We start from the raw sequence: 27714 nt of genomic DNA on the forward strand, positions 1-27714 counted from the left end.
CATCCTCACCAGCATTTGGTGTTGTCAGTGTTTTGGATTTTGCACATTCTAATAATGTGTAGTTGTATCCCACTGTTGTTTTCATTTGCAATTCCTAAATGATACATGATGTTGAGAATCTTTCCATATGTTTATTTGACATCTGTATATCTTTTATGGTGAGGTGTCTTTTCAGATGTTTTACCCATTTTTTTAGTTGACTTTTTTTCATTGTTGAGTTTTAGAAGTTCTTTGCATATTTTAGATCACAGTCCTTTATCAATTATGTCTTTGGCCAATATTTTCTCCCAGTCTGTGGCTTGTCTTATGATTCTCTAGACAGTGTTTTTTTCACAGAGAAGTTCTTAATTTTAATAATTTGTTTAGAAATTATTTCTTTCATGCATCATTACTTTGTGTTGTATAAAAAAGTCACCACCATACCCAAGGTCACACAGATTTTCTCCTATGTTACCTTCCAGGAGTTTCATAGTTTTACCATTTACATGTAGTTCTGTGTCTCATTTTGAGTTAATTTTTGTGACTGGCATAATATCTATATCCAGGTTCATTTTTTTCTTTTTCTTTTCTTCTTTTTGCATGTGGATGCCCAGTTGTTCCAACATCATTTGTTAAAAAGACTATATTTTCTCCACTCTATTATCTTTGCTTCTTTACCAAAGCTGACATTATTTGTGTGGGTCGATTTCTGATTTCTCTATTCTGTTCCATTGGTCTATTTATCTATTTTTTCACCGATATTATACAGTCTTCTGATTACTGTAGCTTTATAAAACTTGAAGTCAGTCCTCTGAATGTCCTTCTCACTTAATATTGTGTTATCTATTCTGGATCTTTTGCCTTTCCATATAAACTTTTTATTTTTCTTTTATTATATATATTTTTAGATGGAGTCTTGCTCTGTTGCCCAGGCTGGAGTGCAGTGGTGTGATCTTGACTCATTGCAACCTCCACCTCCTGGGTTCAAGCAATCCTCCTGCCTCAGCCTCCCAAGTAGCTGGGATTATAAGCATGCACCACCATGCCCTAATTTTTGTATTTTGGTAGAGATGGAGTTTCACCATGTTGGCCAGGATGGTTTGAAACTCCTGATCTCAAGTGATCTGCCCACCTCAGCTGCCCAAAATGCTGGGATTACAGGCATGAGTCACCATGCCCAGCCTCCATATAAACTTTAGAATCAATTTGTTGATATCCACGATACAATTTGCTGAAATTTTTATTTCAATTGTATTGAATCTGTAGACCAAATTGGGAAGAACTGACATCTTGACAATACTGATTCTTTCTATACATGAACATGAAATATTTCACCATTTACTTAGTTTTTCTCTAATTTCTCTTATCAGAATTTTGTAGTTTTCCCCATAGAGGTCTTGCACATAGGTCTCGCACATATTGTTAGATTTGTGGCTAAATATTTCATCTTGTGCTAACATAAATGGTAGAATGTTTTAAATTTCAACATTTGTTCCACTTGTTCATTGTTGATATATAGGAAAGTGATTGACCTGTATCCTGTAATCTTTCCGTAATTGCTTATCTGATCTGGGAGTTTTTTGTCTATTCCTTTAAAATTTTCTACATAGACGATCACATAATTTGTGAACAAAGACAGTTATATTTTTTTCTTCCCAATTTGTATTTTCCTTTTTTGTCTTATTCCATAAGCTAAGACAAGCATTATGATGTCAAAAAGGACTGGTCAAAGGAGTCATTCTTGCTTTGTTACTGACCTTAGAGAGAAAGCACTTGCTTTCTCACCATTAAGTGTAAGGTTAGCTATAAGTTTCTTGTAAAATGTTCCTTATCAAGTTGAGAAAGTTCTCCTCTATCCCTAGTTTGCTGAAAGTTTTTATCACCCATTAGGGTGTTAAGATTTTGTCAAATGCTTTTTCTGTGTGAGCTGGTATGATCATGTGATTTTTCATTCTTCAGCCTTGATTTGATAAATTAGTTAATTTTTGAATGTCAACCGGTCTTGCATATTTGGAATAAATTCCACTTGGTCATGGCATATACACCTTTTTATACATTGTTGGATTCAATTTGTGAATATTTTATTGAAGATTTTTGCATTTATGTTCATGTGCCTTATTGGTCTATAGTTTCCTTTCCCTGTAATACCTTTGCCTGCTTTTGGTATTAGGATAATACTGGCCTCATAGAATGAGTTAGGACGTATTCCCTTTGCTTCTATTTTCTGGAAGAAATTACAGAGAGTTCTAAGATTTTTTGCTTAAATGATAGAACTCACTAGTGAACCCATCTGGGCATGGAACTTTCTGTTTTGGGAGGTTATTGATTATTGATTTAACTTCTTTAATAGGTATATGCCTGTTCTCGTTGTCTATTTCTTCTTGTGTGAGTTTGGTAGATTGTGTCTTTCAGGGAATTTGTTTATTTCATCTAGGTTCTAAAATTTGTGGGCTGAAATATTTGCCCATATAGTATTCCTTTATTATCCTTTCAATGTCCATGGGCTCTGTCGTGATATCTATCCCCTCTGTCATTTCTGCTGTTAGTAATTTGCATCTTCTTTTTCTTGGCCTGGCTAAAGGCTTGTCAATTTTATTGATCTTTTCAAATAATTAATGTTTAGTTTTGTTAATTTTTCTATAGATATTCTATTTTCAGTTACATTGATTTCTGTTCTAGTTTTTATTATTTCTTATCTTCTGTTTATTTTGTGTTTAATTCACTCTTCTATTTCTAGTTTCCTAGAAATAGGTGGAAGCTTATTTTATTGATTTTAGATCTTTATTCCCTTTTAATACATGAATTCAATGCTACAAATTTTTATTTAATCACTGCTTTTGCTGTATGACACAAATTTTGATAAGTTGTATTTTTACTTTCATTTAGTTCAAATTATTTTAAATTTCTCAAGAGTTTTTCTTTCACCCATATGTTATTTAGAAGTGTGTTGTTGAGTCTTCAAGTATGTTGGGATTTTTCCAACAATCTTTCTGTTGTTGATTTCTAGCTTAATTCCATTGTGGTCTGAGAACATGCTTTCTATGATTTGTATTCTGTTAAATTTTTGAGGTGTTTTTTATGACCTAGAACGTGGTCTATCTTATGAATGTTCTGTGTAAGCTGAAGAAGAAAAAATGTGTATTTTGCTGTCATTGGATGAAGTAGCCTATAGATGTCAGTTATATCTAGTTTATTTATGGTGCTATTGAGTTGAACTATGTCCTTACTGATTTTCTACCTGCTGGATCTCTCCATTTCTGATAGCAAGGTGTTGAAGTCTCCAACTATAATGGCGGATTCGTCTATTTCTCCTTAAAGTTCCATCAGGTTTTACCTCACACATTTTAATATATGGGCCTCTCTTTTTAGGCCCATATATATTAAATATTACTAAGACTTCTTGGATAATTAACCCTTTTATCATCATGTAATGTTCCTTTTAATCCATTATAATTTTCCTTTCTCTGAAGTTTGTTCTGTCTGATATTAATATAGCTATTCCAGTTTTCTTTTTATTGACATTATCACATTTGTCTATCCCTTTACTTTTAATCTATATGTGTCTTTATATTTAAAATATATTTTATATTGGATGCATCTGACAGTCTCTTTTAATTGATGTATTTAGATCATTGATATTTAAAATGATTACTGATATATGAAATTAATATCTATCATATTTGTTATGTTTTCTATTCATTGCCTTTCTTCTTTGTTTCTATTTTTTGTCTTTTACTTTTTTCTACCTTTTTTGGTTTTACCTGCGCATTTTATTTGATTCTATTTTCTCTCCTTTTTTATTATATCGATTTTACTTCTTTTTTTACTTCGTTTAGTACTTGCCCTGGAGTTTGCAAAAAAATATGAATTTACAACTAATCCAAGTCCACTTGCAAATAACACTACGCCAGTTTATGGGTAGAGTAATACCTTATAATAATAAAATAATCCTAATTCCTCCCTCCTGTCCATTGTATCTTCGTTGTCATTCATTCAACTTATACATGAGCAATTATAAATACATTGTTTCCTTTACTACATTGAACAAACTGTTATTTGTTAGATAAATTAAGAGTAAGAAAAATTAAAGTTTTAATTTTACCTTTAAAATTACCTTTTTCTGTAATGCTCTTCCTTTCTTTAAGTACAATCCAGTTTCTGAGATGTATCATTCTCCTTCTCTGAAGAATGTATCGTATCATTTTTTTTTCAAGGCAGGTTTATTGGCAGCAAATTCCTTCAATTTTTGTTGCCCAAGAAAGTCTTAATTTATCCTTCACTTTTGAAGAGTAATTTTTCAGGGTATAGAATTCTAGGTCGGTGGATTTTCTTTTTGTCAAAATGCTTCAGATATTTCATTTCACTCTTTTCTTGCTTGCATAATTTCTGAGGAGAAGTTTGAATATGATATACCTGGCTGTCATTCTTTCGCATTTATCCTGCTTGTGTTCTCTGTGCTTCCTGAATGTGTGGTCTGGTGTCTGACATTGGGGGAAATTCTCAGCCATTATTTTTTCAAATACTTCTCTTATTTCCTATTTCCTCTCCTTCTGGTATTGCCTCTCCATGTATGTTGCATGGAAAATAACATACATTTGTACCACAGTTGTACCACAGTTCTTGGATATTCTGTCCTATATTTTTCAGTGTCTTTTCTCTTTGCTTTTCAGTTTTACCAGTTTCTATTGACATATCCTTGAGCTCAGAGATTTTTTTCCTTTGGCTGTGCCCAGACTCATTAGCAAAGAGACTGAGGAAAAAGGCATTTAAAGGCATTCTTCATTTCTTTTATAGACATTTTAATATCTAGCATTTCTTTAGAGGTCTTTCTTAGAATTTCTATTTACATTAACCATGAGCTTTTGCATATTGTCTACTTTTTTCCAGTAGAGACTTTGGCATACTCTACCCATTTTTAAATTAGTTTATTTTTTTCTTATTGTTGTTTTAATACTTCTTTGTATACTTGGGATGTAAGTCCTTTTGCACATATGTGTTATTTGCTTTGTGAATAACTTTCTAACTCTGTGGCTCATCTTTTCATTCTATTCACAGTGTCTTTAACGTAACAGAAGTTTTAAATTTTAATAAAGTCCAATTATCAACCTTTTTTTATTTTCATGGATCTTTCATTTGCTGTCACTTCTAAAAGGTCTTCATGAAACTGAAGCTTACCTAGATTTTCTCCTATACTATAATCTAGAAACCTTACAGTTTTGCATTTTACATTTAGGTATATGATCCATTTTGATTAATTTTTGTGAAAGTTGTTCACCTGTGTCTAGACTTTTTTTTTTTTTTTTTTTTTTGCCTGTGGGCGCTTGCTTTTTACAACATAAATTTGTTTTTAAAAAGCTATTCTTTCTACATTTACTTGCCTTTGCTCCTTGGTAAAATATCAGTTGACTTTATTTGTGTAGGTCTACCTCTGAGCTCTTTATTCTGTTTCATCGAACTATCTGTCTATTTGTTCATGAATACCATGCTGTCCTACAGCCTTATAAATAAGCCTTGAAGTCTGGTAGTGTTAGTGATGGAACTCATTCTTCCTCTTTAATATTGTGTTGGCTACTCTAGGTTTTTTTACCTTTCCATATAAATTTTAGAAACAGATTGTTGATATCTACAAAATCAGTTGCTGGGATTTTACTTGAATTGGATTGAATCTATAGGTTAAGTTGGGAAGAACAGGCATCTTAACAATATTGAGTCTTCCAATCTGTGAACATGCAGTATCTCTCCATTTATTTAGATCTTCTTTATTAGATCAGAGTTTTATAATGCTTCTCGCATAGATCTGGTACATATTTTGTTAGATTTATACATAAGCATTTAATTTTCTTTGTGCTGTTTTAAATGGTACAGTGTTTTTAATGTCAAATTCCATCTGTTCATTGCTAGTATATAGAAAAGCAATTAACTTTTATACATTAAACTTGTATACTGTTATTTGATATAATTACTTATTAATTCCAGGGGTTTTGTGCAAATTTGGGGGGATTTTCTACATAGAAAATCATATCATTTGTGAACAAAGACAGTTGCATTTCTTCCTTCCCAATCTGCGTATCTTTATTTCCTTTTCCTGTCTGATTACACTAGTTAGGTCTTCTGGTGAAATGTTGTATAGAAGTGGAAAGAGGGGATATCCTTGCCTTGTTTATGACCTTACTAGGAGAAAAATCCAGTTTTTCACCCCTCAAGTATACTATGTTCATCTGGTTCTGCTTCTAGGCTAATGCTGGCCTTATACAAAGTGTTCACTGCTTTTATTTCTGTAGAAAATTGTCTCAATCTTTCTTAAATGTTTGGTAGAATTCTCTAATGGAACTTCTGTCTGCTTTCTTTTTTAAAAGGTGTTATGAACTGAATGTTTGTGTCTCTCCAAAACTAATATATGAAAATCCTAACCCCTAAGTTGATAATATTAGGAGGTGGAGCCTTTCGGAGACAATAGATCATGAGGATGAAACCCTCATGACTGGGATTAATGCCCTTATAAAAGGCACCCCTGAGAGTTCTCTCACTCTTTTTCTCCCATTTGGGGGTTAGCAAAAAGACAGCTACCCGGAAACCAGGAAGAGGGCCCTCACAGATACTCCCAACTCTTCTCTCTCATCTCTTACATTACTGTCATTCATATTCCTTATCCATATGCTATAATCACCCAATACATCATTACTATTATCATTTGAATAACAGTTATAATTAAATCATTTAAAAAATAAGAAACAAAAGATTTTATTTTACGTTATTTATTCTTTCTCTATTGTTTTTTCCCTTTTTATGTAAATCTGAGTTTCTGGCCTATGTAATGTTTTTTTCTCCATGAATAATTTTTTAACATTTCTTGTAGGGCAGCTCTGCTACCGATGAATTCTGTCAATTTTTGTTTGCCTGAGAAAAATCTTCATTTCTTCTTTACTTTTAAAGGATAATTTCACTGGATACATAATTCTAGGTAATTTTTTTTTCTTTCAGAACTTAAAATATTTCGCTCCACTCTCTTCTTGCTTGGGTTCTGATGAGTCTGCTATGTAATTCTTATACTTGCTTCTCTATAAGAAAGATCTTCCCCCCATGCCAGCTGCTTTCAATATGTTTTTAGTCTTTGTTTTGTTTTGGAGTTTTCTATGATTTTCCTATGTGTACGTGTAGCTTTTTTGGTATTTACTCTACTTGGTGTTCTCTGAGCTTTTAGATGTGTGATTTGGTAGTTGCCATTAGTTTTGGAATATTCTAAGTTATTATTTCAAATATTTATTTTGCTTCTTTCTCTTTCTTTTTATGGTATTCCAACTATGTGTACATCTTTTGACACTATCCTACAGTTCTTAGATACCCAGTGTGGAGAGTGTTCATTTTTATATTTTTCATTCTTTTTTCCCTTCACATTTTATTTTGGGAGGTTCCTATTGATGTGTCTTTTTTTTTTTTTTCTATTTTGAGATGGATTCTCACTCTGTCACCCAGGCTGCAGTGCAGTGGAGCAGTCTCGGCTCACTGCAACCTCCACCTCCCAAGTTCAAGCTATTCTCCTGCCTCAGCCTCCTGAGTAGTTGGGACTACAGGTGCCTGCCACCACGCCCAGCTAATTTTTTGTATTTTTAGTAGAGATGGGTTTTTACCTATTGGCATACCTTAAAGCTCACTGATTCCTTCCTCAGCTGTGTCCAAGCTACTGATAAGGCCATGAAACACATTCTTCCTTTCTGTTAGTTTTGTTTATTTCTTATTTCTAGCATAATATCCTTTTGATTTTGATTTTTTAAAGTTTCTATCTTTCTGCTTATATTACCCGTCTGTTCTTGAATGTTGCCTATTTTTAATATTAGAGAACATTTCACAGTCCCATCAGCTTCTGTTCAGGTGAACTGATCTTGCCTATGATTTTCTGTATTTGTCTGTCTCTTTCCAGGTTTCAAAGTATGATAGATTCCCTGGGAACTTTAATATTCTGACTGGTCCAAGAAAAGTGATTGTTATTCAGTTTATTTAGCTTTTTCTTTTTGTAAGAATGGAAGTGATGACTTACAAGCTCGTTCCATTTCAAGGCTGAAATTAGAAGTCTGTTCCAGCTTACTGTTCCAGTAATGTTCTAGAGCTCCCTTATCCAGCTATTATTCTTGCGTCTTCAATATTTTTTCACATTTATTTTGGCTCAGCCATGTGTTATATATATTTCAGCATTTTAAAGTGTGTGATACAAAGAGGAATTTATCTTACCATCATTGACACTGTAGGTCTAGAAGTAGAACTCAATTGACAAGCATTTAACATTTTACTATTAGTTTTATTTGGTTTGTTTCTAACTTCTTCAAGTTACTCATATTCGCTTAACTTTAAAGAATGTGCAAGAACACATATCTGATTAATACATATATATTTAATCACAAAATATTGATTATTCTCCATTAATAAATGTGTTAAAAATTATTTCACAGGCTCAAATATTTACATATTTTATCTTTTAGCCTTAATAATCCAAGAGTCATTACCTTATTCAAATTAGAAGATTCCACTTCAGATTCACTTTGCCAATCTTATGTTCATTTCAACACAAATGCCACAGGAATATTCTCTTGCTAGCAACTCTAAGAGTAAATTTCTTAGTAAATTGTCAGACAAAACCAAAATCTAACAGCTATACAAACATGGGTACAGGTCAATGTTTCCATGTAGCACACTGGAGTATTTTATAGGAAAATTTCACTTTATACCTCATTTATTTTGTTCTCTCTGTTTGGAAATAAACTAATTTTAAAAGCTCATCAAAGATTGTTTTGCTTATTTATTATACACATGATCCTAATATAGCTACATGGTTGATATGGCTCATGCACTGTAATTTAAGCATCAATTTTGGATTGTTTGGTGGCGACTTATCAATTGGCCTCTTCTTTATTTTGCTTTTGATTTTTCTAGCATTTATCTGGATAATAATAATACTTTGGGTCTCAAGAAAGAGAAGAGAGAGGGGGGGTAGGAGAGAAGAAATAAAAATGTAACACCAGTCTCCCTCATAAGATATTTTAGGTAGTTAAACCACCTAAAAAAAACCCCTGAAATATCTTTATACATACTTTCTGAAACTATCATCATCTGTTATATTCTCACTTTGAAATAACTGGCACAAGTCTTGATACATATACTGGCAAAAGCACACAACTTAGCCAGCTTTCTTCTAGCTGTTCCAAACCCATTTCTTCACAGCGTGAGGTAGAAAAGCAAATCGCACCACAGGGAGGAGTACATTTGGAGACAAAAAGAATAAAAGTGACTTTCCAGAACCCTTCTTTCAAGTCCAAAGGATTTGGCTTAGTGATCTTTGGTACATGCTGTCTGAAGCTCTGCTGGAGGATGGGGGCTGGTTGTGTAGGTTAATGTAATAGGTTAGTGTTAGTAACTATTACCAAACACATCTACCCTGTACAGGTACCAGGCTTTTGCTTAAGCACACTAAAAGAAAATTCGACGGTAATTAATGAGATTTTCCCTAGAAAACCTCAGAACAAAGACAAAAACTGTGGATAATATAAATTAAAATATACATATACACATTCATATATGTACATATAATATACACACACACGTGTGTATGTAAATATATACATACACACATGTGTGTATGTACATATAATATATACACACATGTGTGTTTATATAATGTATATATTATATAAACACACATATGTAATAATACATACATATTATTTTCTGTGAGTTTTAGAGTTCAAGACAACTGCTCATAGATTTAAGCCATTGTATTCATTCATGAAACAAATATTAACTAATACCTACTATGTGCATGGCAATGAGCTGGTTGTTGAGTAACTACTGGCCCTGAGTTCATTCATTTTGTTCAATATTGATTGAGCAGCTACAATGTGGCAGGCTCCTGTAGGTCCTAGAGATGTAAACAGATGAAATCTCTTCCCTCAAGCTTCATGGTCCTTAGATTTTAGTACAGGCAAACAGATACTAAAACAAAAACCAAATAAATAAATAGTATGTTATATGGTGGTAAGTGCTATGAAGAAAAGTAAAGCAGGGAGAAGAAAGAGGAGTTGGAGGGATTTGATTGGTATCTTATTTTAAGGAAGGTGACCAAAGAAGGTTTCACTAACAAGATGTCATCTAGGCAAAGACCCAAAGCAGGTGACGAAGTGAGCCATCCATGTATCTGGGGACAGAATGTTCCAGGCAGAAGAAAGGGCAAGTGTAGAGGTTCTGAGGCAGGCATGCACTTGGCCTGTTTAAGGAACAGGAGGCCACCAGTGTGGCTGGAATGGAGAGCACAAAGTAGGGCAAGTGGAAGAAGAAGAGGTGAGTGAGGAGGTGAAGAAGGGTGTGGAGTATGAGAGGAAAAGAGGAGTGAAGGATGACTCCAAGGTTTGTGGGCCAAGAAATTGGAAGAATGAAGTTCCATTTCCTGAGATAAAGAAAGACTGCAGGAAAAGCAGGTTGGAGGGTAGGGATTGAAAGCCAGTTTTGTGCAAGATAACTTGGTAATATCTTTTAAACATGCAATGGAGATGCTCAGTGACCATGGAGTGCAAGAGTCTGGTGTTGAGGGCAGAAATTCAGGAAAGAGATACAAATTTGCAAATTTGTCAGTATAAAGATGCTATTTAAAGCCACAAGATTGGATGAGGTCACTTGAAGGCAGCATAGCTATAGGAGTACCCTGAACTCTGAGGCACTTTAAACAGTTGGGCTGATGAGGTAAAAATGAGGGACGGTAATTGGAAAGTTGAAGTAGGAGGAAAACCAGGAAAGTTTAGAATTCTGGAAACTGTGCAAAGAAGGTTTTTCATGGAAAAGGGATTGATCACTTGTTTCAAATGTTGCAAATAAACACGATGAGAACTGGGAACTGGATTTGGCAGTGTGAAATTGGTGGCCGAGTGGTGTGGATGACAGCGTGAATGGAGTGGGCTTAAGAGAATAGGGAGGGGTGGCAATGCAGAGAGTCAATCTAGGCTTTCAAGCTATTATCAAATGGTTCTGAATCACATACAATTCATGGAGACAGGCCCATTATGAACATTTATCAGTCATCATTTGGTCTGAAGATAACACTGTGAATCACACAAATCTAATGATATATCCAGCTACTATTTAGTAGTGTACCAAATATGGTTTACATGCACAATGCTGTGAGAAACAGAACTAGAACAAAATGACAGAAGGTTGTGAAATGAGTGGGAGCAATAATGTGGAGAAGCATTTACTTAAGTCTTTTTTAACAGAAAAATTTTCTTTTCTTTTTTCCATTCCTTCTCTTTCTATTAGACCTTGATCTCCACTCCCCACAGGGAAGGTAAACCAGAGCACAGATGCAAAGAGAAATCACAGATAGCCATTCCTACGTTTTAACAGACCAATGTCTTGGCATTAACAATTGGAGTCTAACAAGAACCCTCTGCTCCCCCAGTTCCCAAACAACCCCATTCTCAGAGGCCTGAGATAAACACTCTTTCTGGACTAGGAAGAGAGGACAGTTAGAAAAGCAAGGGAGATAAATTTTGGTGTGGACTTATACCCCCTCCCTCTTAGGCTGAGCCAGTGACCTGGAATTAAAGAAGAAGAGAGAGACAGAGCAATCCCTGGTTAGCTGTGAAGAAGTTGGAACAAGGGGAACTTCTCCTTCACAGCCTGTCAGGGCCATGAGAGATCTCACCAAATCCCCTTTGATTAAGGAGGAACAATAAGGACCACTCATGGGATGGCCAGGCAGATGGATCTCAAACAGGGTGGCAGAGCCACTCTGCAAATGGGGCCCGGGGTGTGTCCGATGCTAGCTCCCTGGCTCTGAGAGTGTCGCAGGTGTGCCATCAGTCACGGGACCTGTGCACGTGCTGCAATCTGACAAGGGGATTTCAACAGCAGGTGTGCTCAGGTGCCTCAGTGGATGGCAGCACAGAGGGGCAGCTGTGCCTGACCAAATGATGAAGACTTCCAGTGCTAGGCGTAAGCCCTTGTATCTTAGATTTCACACCAGGGAGTAAAGAAGCAACAGCAGAACCCCACGGTGGCTGAATTGGCCGTAAACCCACTAACAAAAATCTGAAGTTTTAGGCTGAATTCACGTAAAATGGACTATTTCAACTTTCATATCAGAACACAGAATAAAAATTAAGATAGAAATTAGTTCATTTTAAGAAAAAGTACAGTTACAGTTGCTTTCCATGCCTACGGTGGTTGATTGAGAAATTTGCACCAGACACATGAACCCATAATTGCATAGATAATGTGTTTACAAGCCCTTTGGGAGAAATGTGTGGTACAGGGAAAAGCAAAACACTATGCTTGGAAAGATAAAACTAGATTTCTCCTAGCTCTGTTATTCTCTTTAGAATCTCAAGAAAAGTAGTAACGCTTTTTGAGTCTTAACACTTGATAAAATGAAATGCCTTACAAGACTGTTGTGATTATCAAATGCCATAATACACAAAAGTGATAAATAAACTTTAAATGTTTCAAAATAAAAAATGAAGGAACTGAAACCAAGTGCTACAATATGCCAGGCTCCTTATCTTATGGTAAACATGATATGTATTTTACATTTAATGTAATAATTTATAGTAATACTGTATTATGTTATTTTATATTATATTCCTGGCTGGTCTGGGATAGCCATATTTTACAGACATCATCCCAGCATAATTTTTAATAATGCCCTTTTCACTCTCAAAACTTCTGATTTGCATGATAAATTACATAGTCACTCTATACATTCTTTCCATACAATGTCCTTGCAAAATAAGGTCGGTATTTTATTCCCTTTTCACAGATGAGGAAACTGAGGTTTACATGGCTTGAGTAGCTAACCTATGCTCTCACAGCTAGTCATGCTGCCCTATTGGAAATCAAATCTGGGACTGTCAATTTGAAAGGTCAGGCTATTCAATTTACTGTACTATAGTGTAAGGTGCAATATGACTCTTTGCATTTGCATTAGAACCAAAGCATGTAAAGTGAATCACTCTCTCCCAGGCACAGAGCATGGGACCCATCTAAACTGACAACTGTGAGTTAAGCGCAGAATGAAAGCTAGTCTTTGAATTCCTGAGCAGGCAGCTTCCCAAGTCCTGTTTACTTTCAGCGATTTGGCCTTTGCATTGGATTGGAGAGCAGTACAAACGCATGCAGATTAGCCTTAAGCACATCAACTTGGAAATATTACATTAACAATCCCTCTCTTTGGTTTCATTTTTATTTAGGTTTTATTCAAATATTCTTAAAAGGAAAGCCTACATCTCCTTCAAAAACGCCTTCTCTTTGACATTCTAAAGCTTTTGATTGTGTCCAGCTTCTAAATCTAATTCAGTGAAGCCAAAAAAAAAAAAAAAAATTTAAGGCTATGTTTATTTCAGTTAAGCCTGGAGTAAAGGTTCATGCCAGATCTCATTTTAACAAAATGAATTCACCAACCCCTAGTAAACATTGGATGAAACTGATAATTATACTGGTGACCAGAAAGACTCCTTGGCCTTGGTTTGCAGAATTATATGACCTTACATTAATATTAGAAATCTAAATGATTAAAATCCAGGTTTGCAAATGAACATCATTTCTGTTGTAAAATTTGCTTTCAGCAAAAAAACATTTTGTAACATTCTTTCACTAAAACAGTCTTTACAAGCCAAATGAGATGGGTATTTGGGGGAAAAATTTTTACTTAATTCAGTACAAAACAATCTGAATAAAGATAGAGAAAAACTGGAATCACTTTCTAACTGTAGTTCTACATAAGTATATTTATTTTTAAGAATACCGAGGGCAGCAAGGAAATTGAAACTTTGTTTTAAAATACATATACATAGAGAACATGTATCTGAAATTATGCCCACTAATCTAGAACACTTGTTTCAAAATGTGACAACTTGTTTAGGAACATTCAACAACAAACACAATATTAACCCAGAATGTTCAATTAAGGATCAGAGCTGAGCAAACTAAAAGGTAGATTATAAGAAATTTATGTATTTAGATGTTGAACCAAAAAGAGAGAGACCATGGAGTTGTTTACTACTTGGGAAAATGTATGTTTATTTAAAATTCAAAGGAATCCTACCAGTTCTATACAATCAAAAATAAGTCTCAGGAATTGGACAGCACATCTGTGAGTCTTAATGGATAATATTAATCCATGTACATGAAACATGTAAAACATATATCAGATTCTCCCAGAATAACATGGAAGAGTGTCCAAATCTCGAATCTCCACTTACAGAGTGGTTAGACGCAAGAAAACACTGCAAATTTGAAATGATGTTCATTTGCAGACCTAGATTTTAATCATTTTGATATATAATATTTATGTAAGGTCATATTCTGCAAACCAAAGCCAGGGAGTCTTTCTGACCAGTGTAATTATATCCTTATAGCCCAGGGAGTGAGTGGAATATATTCTTAGATAACGTGACCTGAGAGAAAAAAGCCAGAGAGAGAAAACATCCAAAATACAAGGCTGTATGTAGGTGGATTCAAAACAAAACAAATTACAAGTGAACTATAAGTAATAAAGTCAGAAGACACCCAGAAGGCTAGGCAGACTGGCCATGATGGGGACTTCTGGGATTTTCAAAAGGAAGATTGGGAATGTTAATTGGAATAAAACAAGAAGGTGTGAATAAAGAAGGTGCGAATAAAGAAGGTAGAAATGCGGGGGGGAAATGACCTAAAAAACAAACAGCAAATGAAGGACCATGCCAGTGCTGGTCAGCTACAGTGAGCCTCCTGTTTCTGAAAGAACACAGAGATGAGTGTTGCAAGAATCAAACTTAAGACACTGGGAAAACATTTCTATCCATGTAAGCATAGGAAACTTTAAGTGTATTAATTATTAAGGAATACAAGTTATGTGCAGTGACTTGTTAAATAAGCCGCTGATACCAAGCAAGTGCAGAGACATTAAGGAGTCATGAAGTGAATGAGAAGAAGTCACTTTTATTACAACTACTAATTCCCCAGGAATTTGGAGATTTTTAAATACTCGTATATTCCAGCATCATTATTAACATGTCTATTTAGCACTGAAATTTTGGTCTGTACATGAACATCAATCATTTGGGCAATAGTTTCATTAAATTCATTTGCAGTCCTTTAACTCTGTTTTTTTTTTTTTTTTTTTTTTTTTTTTTTTTTTTTTTTTAGACAGAGTCTAGCTCTGTCACCCAGGCTGGACTGCAGTGGCGCCGTCTCGGCTCACTGCAACCTCCGCCTCCTGGGTTCATGCCATTCTCCTGCCTCAGCCTCCCGAGTAGCTGGGACTACAGGCGCCCGCCACCACGCCCGGCTAATTTTTTGTATTCTTTAGTAGAGACGGGGTTTCACTGTATTAGCAAGGATGGTCTCAATCTCCTGACCTCGTAATCCGCCCGCCTCGGTTTCCCAAAGTGCTGGGATTACAGGCGTGAGCCACCGCGCCCAGCCTGCAGTCCTTTAACTCTTAATGTTCAATATCTAATAGTGACTGAGAAAAACAGGGCTGTGTTTATTTGCTTATTTGTTCTTTCTGAAAAATCAAGACTTTTTCATCTATTTTTTATCACTTCATCTCAGGCTTTCCTTATATAGACTGAATTCTGATACTTAATTCTTAACATATTTTAAAATATTAATAGTAAAATGTATCTTTATATTTAAAGCCAAAAAAATGTATCCACATCTACTATGAACAAAGAAAACACCAGTGCTAGGCACTGGTGGGAGGGGAGGTGGATGATACATGAAAGCACAAGACAGAATTAGTACTCAAGGGCTTTGCAGTTCTGATGGGGAGAAAGATGTTCATTAACAATACTAGTTCATGGCAGAATGTGACCTGTGTTGCATACTGGAGGGGAAAAGTGCTACTTCTATAGAAGAGGGTGGAGACTTTAATGAAAGGAATTCCACTTCCAGTAATTTCTCTCAAAAGATCTATTGGACAAATGCAGAAAGTTACATGCACATAGATGATTCTTAGGTTAATATTTAGCCTATTTGTACTAAATAGCCAACAGCATGATTATGCCAACATGCCAATTCACATGGATACTGGATTTAGAAATGGTAGAAAATAAAATACTTTAAAGAAAAGTTGTTTCTGTTCATAAATGGTGTCTAGGACCAGCCTACAGATCTCCACCATCCTCGTTTCGTGACTATGATAGACATTACTAATCGATCATGTCATACTTTCCTTTGCGCTCTATGGCCTTAGAATCCTTCCTTCCTGAGAGTTACAACCCACTGAGATGAATGCATTTGCATATGCAGGGTATAGACAGTGGTTCTCCTACTATGCTACTTTGGTCTGTGAACCCCCCTGAAGGCTACTGGGGGAAAGGACGGGGAGGGAGAGTAGGTACAAGGCCAAGACTGCTCACTTTTGGACCACAGCTATGATATTAGAAGGGAGCTTAGTAGTCACCTTTGGATGGGATCTGGTAAAGATGCAGTGATGATATCTCAGGAGTTTTTCATTTGGGAATATTTACACAGTGTAAACTGTGTAATATGCATTTTTATATATTAAATATATTTTATACTTCAATACAAATTAAACAAACAAGCAAAATAATAGCTAACCTATCAGAGCCAAAACAAGATGGCGAGCTGAAACTTTATAGACCGTCAAATGTAGGCTCATATCTAGGCTCAACATTGTAACTTGCCGTGTGATTTGGGCAAGTCATTGGAGCTCTCTGTTTCATTTTCATTACCTGAAACAGGGATAAAGAATATCTAACTCATAGGATTGTTATGAGGAGTAAATGGCGTAATAAGGAACTTAGTATCATGTCTAATATATCATCGTAATATGTTAACAATGATAACTAACATTTATGTTCCCAGATCTGTTCTAGGGACTTAGTTTTCTCCAAAAAACCTTGTGTGGCAGGGCCTTTATTTTACAAAGAAGGAGACTGAAGCAGAGACTTTAATTACTCATCCAAGATCTCTCAGCTATTAGGTGGAAAAGCCAGAATTGGAATTCAAACAGGCTGCATATTAATCGCTGCATTCTCTTGTGTAATGAGGACCTGTTAAACAACAGTTATTACTATTACAAGAATAAATCCTGGCAGAGATGTGGGAGGTTATAGGGAAGAATTGAGTGTGGGCTGAACTGCTGTTCACCAGGAGGCAAAGGGCAACTCTAGGGTTAGGCTTTGAAATTCTGTGCTAAATAAATGGCTGCTATTATTATTATGCAATCTCCATACCTAATTTGAGACAGAAAATGAAAGTACATAATACATGCAATATTGTTATTGTACTTTATAAATACAGAAAACAGCTTGTGGAAACTTAATGCCATGCTCCCCTTTGGTCCACTACAGCCTGTTTCTAAAATCTACCCCAGGGGAGCATTCTACCTCCGTAGGCTACATCCAAAATCAGTCTTGGTTTTGTTGTGACTATGGGTGATTTTTTTCCTCTGTATTTTCTACGTTTTCTATAATGAACACACTTAATCTTAGAGTGGAAAACTGACTTTGAAAATAAAACAAAGCAAAAACAAAAACCAATCTCGGTAAGTCAATAAGAACCACATGTCTTTTAAATGGAAAACATGCCTATTTCTCCTTTGTTTCTTAGAAGCAGCTTGCCAGATACACAGTCCACAGCTTTGAACCATTTACATAAACATACCCAAGCCAAGTGTTTCCACGCAACAGCCAAATTGCACCCATATTAGCAATTTAATGACTTTGAAAGTAATAAGTGGTAGAAACTGATATTCACTTTGCTGGAATTCACCTTAGATATTCCTTACAAACCACAATCCAGTGGCATTTGTTGTAGATTGTAGATGTAGATATTCAAGAAACTTTGAAAGAAAACACTATTCATCTTGAGATGGGGGGAAAAATGCTAAGTGGTAACAAAAGGTAGAAATCTTTCAGGTGAAATGTAATGTCCAGGAACTGAATGGTAGTGGATCATAGTAAATCATCCACCAGAGGGCACTGCCAGAATATACAAAGTTTTCTTGGAAAAGATTGGACACCCCCTAACTCTAAGCAAAGAGAACTAATATGGTTAGGTTAACAGAATTCCACTTTTATTATGCTTCCTTTTCCTTTATAAATCAGGTCAGTCTTTTCCTCCTGATGAAGGAATTCATGAACTGCATGCTACCCTTACTGTTATGACTTCTAAAACTGCTGCAACCATTTGATTGGAAAAGTATTTTACAATAAATGCTGCGTTCCATGTGCTAAGTACTGAAGTTATTACCATGACAACAAGACCACCTTCTTGCCTACAGTTCGGAGATTAATAAAGGGCTCCTGAGATAACCACAAGGCACATGAAATAACCCAGGAACTATAAATTGCAAAAGGTAAATGCTGTTTTGTTTTGCACTTAAAGTACCATTGCTGTTCAGTGAAGGGAATATTGCCCACAGATGTTTTGGAAAGCCATCTGAGGAAGGCACAGAAGGTTGTACAAATAGAATAGGCAGAAAGGAAAGCAGAACACAGCATTAGCAAAGTCATAGGAGTCAAAATTTCATTGCTAAGGAAAACTAGTGCTTTTCATTTCATATTTCTGGCTGTCCTACTGACTTGGAATGCTTCAAATGCACCAATTCACCTGCCTTAGATATGGACTGATACTTCAGTCCCATCTGCTGTAATAGGTGAGCTTTTCATATTTTCTGAAGCTATTATCCATAGTGTTTCCCCTCTAATTTCAAAAGCCTAGAGAGAAACAATATGGAAAAAACTCTTGTTTTGGACAGAGAAGGCTCTGAAGCAAGCCACCTCCTAGAGATGGAGAGCTTCATTTTGTCCTGCCTGAGCCAAGATAGGACACAGTAGGAGTTTGCTGCAAGAACACAGAACACATCAGGTTTTCATGTAGCAGTGCCCTAAGAAGGAAACTGGACAAGGATAACTTGAATTGAGGAAACCAGTCCAGCTGGAGCACCACCCTGTGGTTTCGCATGGACTAGGAATAGAAATTTGCTCTGAAGAAATGTATTTTTAAAAGTTAACCTTCACATGGTATTTGAAGTTTCATAGAACTTTTTTGGATTGGAACCAGATCTAGCATGCATGTTCTTAGGTATTAAAGCCTAATATTATTATATTACTCTTTGAAAAAAATGAATTCTTTCATCATAGTAATTTTCTTAAAATATAACACTGCTTTTTACTTATATTAAATTCTCTACTGTTTCTGATGTTATGCTACTTAGGAAAATGCCATTTTCTTGTTAAATTAATATGTGCAGACAAGTATTTACTTACCACACATGAACATGAGCCCCTTATAAGTCATCACTCCTAATATTTATGGTCTAAGAATGAGGTAGTTCGGGTGAGTCACATATTTACACTTAGCAGAGAGATTAAGAAAAAAATTCGCACCACAATTTCCCTTAAGTAATGGAAAAAATGTGACTTGTTACACATTTGTTTTCTGGGTCAGTGTTTTTCCAGCTTTTCCATAGAGTCTTAAGGTCATCCAAGGTTTCTTTAGGTTTTCCTAAAAGAAAGAACTGGGGAGTTGTGATGGGTGCTTGATTTTAAATGTGATAACAATTATCTGCGACTTTTAGAGAACACAGCTAACCATTGTGAAGATTACTGTTCTGGATAGTGAAAAATATGAACCAGCAGTATAGGCTTTGAATGTTTGAAATTGATGATCTTAAATTTCTTAAATAACAGGGCCCTAGACATGCACTTTGCTCACAAAAGAGATCTTTTACCCCAGTCTTTAGAAATTTGCTTAAAGTGGGAGAGTCTAGTATTTATAAATAAAAGGAAAGCAGTAAGATTCAGAAAAATACCATTGAGATTTATAAGGAACTAGAGAACCATAGTTCCTGGAAAATCCAGGAGTAATTGAATAGCTTTTATAATATAAAGAAAAAGAATATTCACGGTGCATTACTTTTGGCAGCCTATCATCTAAATATGGCACCCAGAATAAATGCATTGACTGAAGGGAAATTGTATGATTTGCATAAATTTTACCAATGGCTATAAATTATCCTCTCTGGTGATTTTTCAAGATAGATAGTGTTATGGGTTGAATTGTGTCCCCTCAAAGGACACTGAAGTCCTAATCTTAGTATCTGTGAATGTGACCTTATTTAAAAATAAGATCTTTGTTGATGATCAAGCTAAGATGATTTCATTGGAGTAAGCCCTAAGTGATTAAATATGACTATGTTCTTATGAAATGGGGAAATTTGGACACAGAGACAGACACACACAGAGAGATGATATGGAAACATAAGGAGAACACCATCTGCAAGCCAAGGACGGCCTGAGGTTACCAGAAGCTAGGACAGAGGCAGGGAACAGATCCTCCCTTACAGACTTTGGAAGGAACCAATCCTTCTGACGCCTTGATTTTGGAGTTCTAGCCTCCAGAAGCATGAGGCAGTAAATTTCTGTTGTTTAAGCCCCCCAGCTTGTGGTACTTTGTTGAGGCAGTGCTAGCAAACTAGTACAGTTATATATTCTGAATCCTTGTCTTTTGGCTTGCCATTTAGCCCCCGAGTCTCCCTGGCAATCAATAAAGCACAGAAGCTTTGTTCAGATTGCCAACCACCCGGTTCAGTTCTGGACAACCTCATACTGCCATCCACGTAAGGCAAGTTCCTTTTAAAGTTTGCCAGACCAAAGCAATTAAGAGGGCAAATCTGTTGGAAAAACTCACATATTGCATTATGAAGCCAAATATAAATTCTACTTTGATTATTGTTCCTTATGAAGGAGAGCAGTGTCTCTAATAATCAGAAAAGAATCAGGGATTGATTGTATTTCATTTTCTTCGAGGAAAATTTGGCCAAATAGCTAAAGTAACCTGATTAATGAGAAATTTGCAGAATGGGAAAAACACTGCAATTATAGGCAGCAACCATGGACATCCGCTGATGGCCAAAGAACATAGCCAGTCTTCTGGTGCGTACATTATGTGGCAGCTCGTTGGTCTCCTGCCAAATAGGACAATCAATGTAGGTTGAAATTTGTCTCAATCTCACTCGGCAATCATATTCATAAACACTGCCTCTGTGTCTTATTTAGGTGAGACAGCAACTTAAAGACTATTATGTAAACAGAATTTTCATACCTAGAATTTTAAAAATGTATTAAACTTTAAAAGGGTCTTTCCTAATATTTGATGGAGGAGCTTCAGAATAGTTAATTTAAATGAAATTGTAGTATTATATATTTTCATTTTTTAAAATGTTAAGTTGCTAAGTGTGAAGGCTTTAGACACTGACACCTCATATTGATTCTTGCTTTACAAAGAGACTTGGAAAAGAAACCAGTGTATGTATAAAATGATTAATTGGGATAAGAAACTCAGCTAAGAGATATTCAGACTGGAAAAAACTAAATAAAGAATATAAAACAAGCAATTAAAAAAAGGAAAAAGCAGGCATGGTGTTGAAGTATATGAAGTAATCTAACACCACTGTGTTTTTTCATCTTCATTTTCCAGTGTCTATGCTGCATTGTAACTTTTGGAAAAACATGCACACACCTGGTGCCACCTGGGTAGGTGTGACCAGAACCTGCCTGTTGGAAAATAAAGGATTAAAAAAATGAAATGAGAGAAAGTGACACATAAAAGGACAACTTAAGGTTTCCGCAAAGCAAATACATAACCAAGCTGATCAACCCTCCAGCATAGTCCTTCTGAGCTGTGTTTCCACAGGAAAATGAGGGTAGAGGCAATCACAAAAGTCTTGGCTCTCATCCACCCCTGTGGCCTGCTGACACAGGCCCAGCTTGCCAGAGCACTGGGGTCACAATGAAGTTGCTGCCAGTAGAGCTGCTTTCATTAAAATTGAGTAAGAAGAACAGGTAATGGGGTTGGGCAGAAACTAGGACCTGAAAGTGGTTGGGATTGGGGGACTCCTGTCTTCTAATTGGGAAGGCTGGGTAGGGCTTCTTGGTAGTACCTGACAATTATCTTGTTCTAGCATTTACAGCCTTTCTCTACTCCTGGAGTCACTGCAGGGCCCCCAGGGGACTCTGAAAACAGCCAGTTGTTAAGCAAGGGTATTCTCCACTAGGGCTACCATGAAGTTTATATTATAGAGCTGGATCTTTCACCCCTTTTGTGCTGTAAACCATTTGTGCACAGCCTTTGAACTATTTCTCATAATAATACTTTTTAAATATATATAAAATATATGTCATTACAAATAAAATCAACTATGATGAAATATGGCACATGTATACATATGTAACTAACCTGCACAAAGTGCACATGTACCCTAAAACTTAAAGTATAATAAAAAAATATATATATATATTTATAAATATTGATATACTGTTAGAAAAACATTTTTTAAAATAAATAGGTGATATAGTAATTACATTCTTTATTAATATGTTCAATATAATCTGGTCTTGAGCTTATTAATTATGATTTCACATTAATGATGACGAAAAATAACATTTTGAGATATCAGCAACAACTGATACGAATGGAAATATCCATCATTTCTATTAGGGACAAAGTCACAGGTATTGCTAACACTGTGATTTGTTTCTACATTCATCATGGAAGGCAGTGCCAAATGTCATTTAAGGGTGCATGAAAATGTAGATGAAATGTTTTCCCATACAAGTTCACAGACCCCCTGAAATCTACCTGTGGACCCTTTGCTGGATCTGGAGTTCAGGTTAAGAACCCTGCCATACAGGCTTACCCATCCTAATACGGAAGTTTACCACAAATACCACATCAGCTTTCATGCAATTGTATGATAATTACCAACTTTTAAAACAGTGTCACTTTAATCTCTATCTCTCTGATGATTCAGAAATCACTTCAAAATTTTCACAAGAAGTAACATTGTGAGTATCAAAAAATTTGCCCTGTAGACTTGGGGAATGCTTGTTAATGAAATTACTAGGTTCAGAAAATCTCTAATAGTTGTTAGTATTTTCTTTCTAAACAAGAATGTGCAACAAATGATGCAAGAGCAGAATGGTATTATCATTGCTTTGCGAGTCCTCAGGAGAAAGAAATAGAGTGATCAATATGATCAATAAAACAAGGCAGTTTAAGCTTAAGTCAGACCCTGAAGTCAGGCGCATTTTCGTGCAAATCTCAACCCTACTACTCACATTTGACAAGTTATTTACTTCTCTAAACCTCTAAGCCTGTATCTGAGCTACAAAATAGGGATAAAAATAGTGCCTATCTCATAGAGATATTGAGGGGATTAAACGAGGTAATACATGATAACATACTAACTCAGGCTCTGTTGTTAGAGGATCCATTGCCCCTCTTGCAAAATGGGAAAATGGAAACCATCTTCAAGTCTGTCAGACATCTCTAAGCCTGTCTTTTCTTCCAGCCTCTTTTCTTGGAGTTGCTCTACATTTTCCACTGTAGTGGATGGCCTCCGTTTTTCATTCGGCATTGCAGGAATTTTGAAGAATACACAGTTTTTGAAAAGAGACAGACAGTTCAAGAAGACAGGGGAAAACAGAAGAGGCCACTTATTTTGCATATAAGACAGATGCTCAGGGCATACCAGAATAGCTTAGAATTATTTGTAATCAGCAGATATGAGTGTAGGTCTGGTATCAGCTTTAAAATGTTTTGTAATGTTGAGAAATATTTTACAATCCATCCACCCCCAGTTTTCCTATGACAAAATGTCAAGAGGGACGTGCAAGAAGCTTGAGAACCAGCAAGTAATTTTTCATATGAATTCCCACTAGTTGGGACTGACTTGAAGGATGTAATTTATGGCCATTCTTGGGAAACAACCATGAAAATGTAGTGCTAAAGCTTGTCAGCTGCTTCCTGTCCCCTAAAGTGGTAGAGATAACTTACCAGAGTGTCCCATTTTCACTCTTTTTGGTTCCCACATTATACTTACAAACAAATAAAAACAATACAAACATGAAAGAGAACTCCAACTTCAAAGCACGCAAAGATAACTGATGACTAGGAAATAAGAGCTTTGGCTGCTTATTTGAATAAGCCAGGCTTTTCTTTTTCATCACAGTACAATGTAAATGACTGCCTTTACTGATGAGAAAATTTTGCTTTTCAACATTTTTTTGTCACTCTTTTGTATATATTTTCAAACTTAGAAAAAAGCTATGAGAAAAGATTACATAACTCTCATATTCTGTTTATCCAGATCCACAAACTGTTTACATTTTTCCCATTTGTTTTATCATTCACTCTCCCTTCTCTCTATACATAAATATTTATGTATAAATAAATATATATACACACATTCATATTTTTCTGTACCTGAGAATAAGTTGGAAACATTTTGCCTCCTTACATTTAAGTGTTTCAATATCTATACTTCATAATAAATACATTTTGTAGGATAACAAAAGTATAATTATCAATATCAGAAAATTTAACATGATGCAATGACATTATCTAATCCACAGTCTATATTTGAATTTCTTCAATTGTCCCAATCATGCCCTTTCTAGTTACTTTCCTCTCCTTGGTCCAGAATCTAATCTAGGACTGAACATAGCATTTAGTTGTTATAACTCTTTACACTCTTTTAAATTGGAACAGTTCCTCAGTTTTTTTGTTTTTTTGTTTTTTTTTAGATAGAATCTCGCTCTGTCATCCAGGCTGGAACACAGTGTTATGATCTTGGCTCGCTGCAGCCTCGACCTCCTGGGCTCATGTGATCTTCCCACTTCAGCTTCCCAAGTAGCTAGGATTACAGGCACACATCACCACACCTGGCTAATTTTTGCATTTTTTTAAGAGATGGGGTCTCACTGTGTTGCCCAGGCTGGGATCAAACTCCTGGGCTCAAGCGATCCACCTACCTCGGCCTCCCAAAGTGCTGGGATTACAAGTGTGAACCATTGTGCCTGGCCTCTCAGCATTTTTTAATGATATTTCATCTTTGACATTTTTGCAGAGTATAAGGAATTTTGAAGAGTACACAGTTTTTCAAGAGAGATAGACTAAAATGTCCCTCAGTTGTCTAATACTTCCTCATAATTAGATTCGGATTAGGTATTTTGGGGCAGAAATGCTACAGAACGATGTGTGTCCTTCTTAGTGCTTCATATCAGGAGGCATATGTTGTTGGTTCATGTCCCATCATTGGTGACATGAACTTTATTTTATTAAGGTGGCATTATTTTATTTTATTTTATTAAGGTGGCATTTTTTTAGAATTTTCCAATGTAAAGTTATTATTTTTCTATCTGACAATTAATGAGCAATTTGTGGAAGATATTCTGAAACTATGTAAATATCCTGATCCTCACCACACTTTCACTCATTAGTTTCAGCCTCCACTGGTGACTCCTGCCTGAATCAATTATTTTGATAATTTCCGAATGATAGTTTTCTAACTTGTCATTTCTTCTACATTTATTGGTTGATATTCTATTGTAAGAAAGAACTTGTCTTTCTCCCTGTTGATTTTTTTATACACTTACTGTTTATATCAACAGGGAACCATGTATTCTTTTTTTGTTCAATGGATTGTAATCCATTACTGACATTACTTTGTCTCAGAAGTCACCAGGGAGAGTCCTTTCAAGCTGGTTCTTGTGTCCTCTTGATAGGTCCCTACCATTTGTGGCCTACAACCACAATAGTAGTTCATGCTTTTGCATAATTTGCTGCCTTACTAGTACAGAAATACCTTTTTCGTTCTCACATAAAGATAATTATTTACTTTTACAGAAGGGAGAATTATTATTGATTTAACTATATATTTTAAACATTGTATTTGGCCTCTCAGGATTTTTAGTTTTCAAATAAAAGTTATTGATTTGGACATATTTATATCTATTGATACAATTTAAAAAATCTTAATGGAGGGCTGGGCACGGTGGCTCACGCCTGTAATCCCAGCACTTTGGGAGGCCGAGGCAGGCAGATCACGAGGTCAGGAGATCGAGACCATCCTGGCTAACACAGTGAAACCCCGTCTCTACTAAAAATACCAAAAACTTAGCTGGGCGTGGTGGCGGGCGCCTGTAGTGCCAGCTGCTTGTGAGGCTGAGGCAGGAGAATGGTGTGAACCCGGGAGGCGTAGCTTGCAGTGAGCCGAGATTGTGCCACTGCACTCCAGCCTGGGCGACAGAGCAGGACTCCGTCTCAAACAAACAAACAAAAAAATCTTAATGGAAACAAAACAACAACAAAAAATCCCAACCAAATTTATCTTCCAAACAATGGAAAAGGGTGAGATTTAATGCATCTTGGCCTAAGACAATTAAGAAAATTTTGATATTCCATAGTTGATATAAGAAGGAAGAAAGCAGTAGAGATTATCATACATTTTGGAAAATAGAGGGAAAAATGAACACGAATATTTAGTATCTATAACAAATTTCTACTTGTATAAAACAGCAAATCTGTTTCATTATAATGGCTAAGTACAGTTCTCCACAGTTGAGCAGTTTTTATTTGTACACTTCTATATATGTGCATATATATATGTGCACATTTTGGTCATTTTTTTTTGTTTTGAATCCTTGTCTTGATATTGTACTGAAAACAGTAGTGTTAGATTGTGTATATTTCACGAATTCTAAGTACAAAGCACTGTGACCCTCGCTGGGCAGCACAGTAACCATGCGCGGGTACCGACCACTTGACAAGCTGAAATGAGGCACACAGGGATTGCAGCAGGTGCAAAGCATCTCAGGTGCCGCTGAAACATGGCTTTTTAGAAAACTTTTGTTAAGGGCTTTTCAAAACTTTTGTTAAGGGCTCCATCTATAAAGGAAACAAGAAGAAATCACACCGCAAAAGGTATGCAGAATTTGGAGTGTAGCCTTAGATTTGTTAACCTTTCAATCTCAGTTTCTTCATGTCTAAAATAGAAATCACAGTAATATTTAAATTATTTATCCCACAGGATAATTTTAGTGATCAAAAGAGATACTGCCACAATAAAATACTTTGCATATGAAAAATAATTATATTAATTATGATCATGCTTTGTCCAAAGACATTTGAAGGCATTACACAGAATGCTGGAAGTCAAGAATTAACGCAGCCCCACAGCTTGGATGGCAGCATAGTGGAGACGGAGATGTAAGAATTGAATTGGAAAAATACATCAGGGTTTGCTCAATAAGCATTAAAGCCTTAGGGAATAATACTCCTTAGAAACAGGGGCATCGTCTGGGCGCAATGGCTCCCACCTGTAATCCCAGCACTTCGGGAGGCCGAGGCAGGCAGATCATCAGGTTAGGAGATCAAGATCTTCCTGGCCAACATGGTGAAACCCCGTCTCTACTAAAAATACAAAAATTACTCAGGTGTGGCGGCACATGCTTGTAGTCACAGCTACCCGGGAGGTTGAGGCATGAGAATTGCTTGAACCCAGGAGGCGGAGGCTGCAGTGAGCTGAGATCACGCCATTGCACTGCAGCCTAGGCAACAGAGTGAGACTCCATCTCAGAAAAAGAAAGAAAGAAAGAAAGAAAGAAAGAAAGAAAGAAAGAAAGAAAGAAAGAAAGAAAGAAAGAAAGAAAGAAAGAAAGAAAGAAAGAAACAGGGGCATCACTTAGTGTTTTGCTCTATCTAGTACAAATAAAGTAATAAAGTAGGCCACTGTGTCACACAGTATAATCTGTACATATGGACCATCCCAAGGAAAACATCAGTCAACAAGTGTATTCTTTGGAGAATGTTTATCTTCTCCTTAGGTCCTCTCCAGTCTCAGGAATAATAAGCTAGTTCCTGAAAGCCCCTTGTACAGTGCACAGACCTGTTCACCAAACACTC

General features: G+C 36.0%; 1 protein-coding gene and 1 long non-coding RNA gene across 5 annotated transcripts in view; one reads left to right on the top strand and one right to left on the bottom strand.

Moving 5' to 3' along the window:
- The window catches only part of RERG (RAS like estrogen regulated growth inhibitor), a 113635-nt gene that overhangs the window by 25966 nt on the left and 59955 nt on the right, over positions 1-27714 (bottom strand). The window contains exon 2 of one of the 4 annotated variants that reach the window (XM_047429797.1): positions 9781-9960. The exons of the other annotated variants lie outside the window; for them this stretch is intronic. Coding sequence (XP_047285753.1) covers positions 9781-9832 — 52 coding nt within the window. The 5' untranslated portion in view covers positions 9833-9960. The remainder of the gene's footprint in view (positions 1-9780; positions 9961-27714) is intronic. 4 annotated transcript variants of the gene reach the window in all.
- On the top strand, positions 18175-21535 carry RERG-AS1 (RERG antisense RNA 1). Its single transcript, NR_046559.1, has 3 exons — positions 18175-18322; positions 20492-20592; positions 21448-21535. It is a non-coding gene; the product is annotated as an RERG antisense RNA 1 (long non-coding RNA).

Source organism: Homo sapiens, chromosome 12, assembly GCF_000001405.40.
Source record: "Homo sapiens chromosome 12, GRCh38.p14 Primary Assembly".
NCBI lineage: Eukaryota > Metazoa > Chordata > Mammalia > Primates > Hominidae > Homo > Homo sapiens.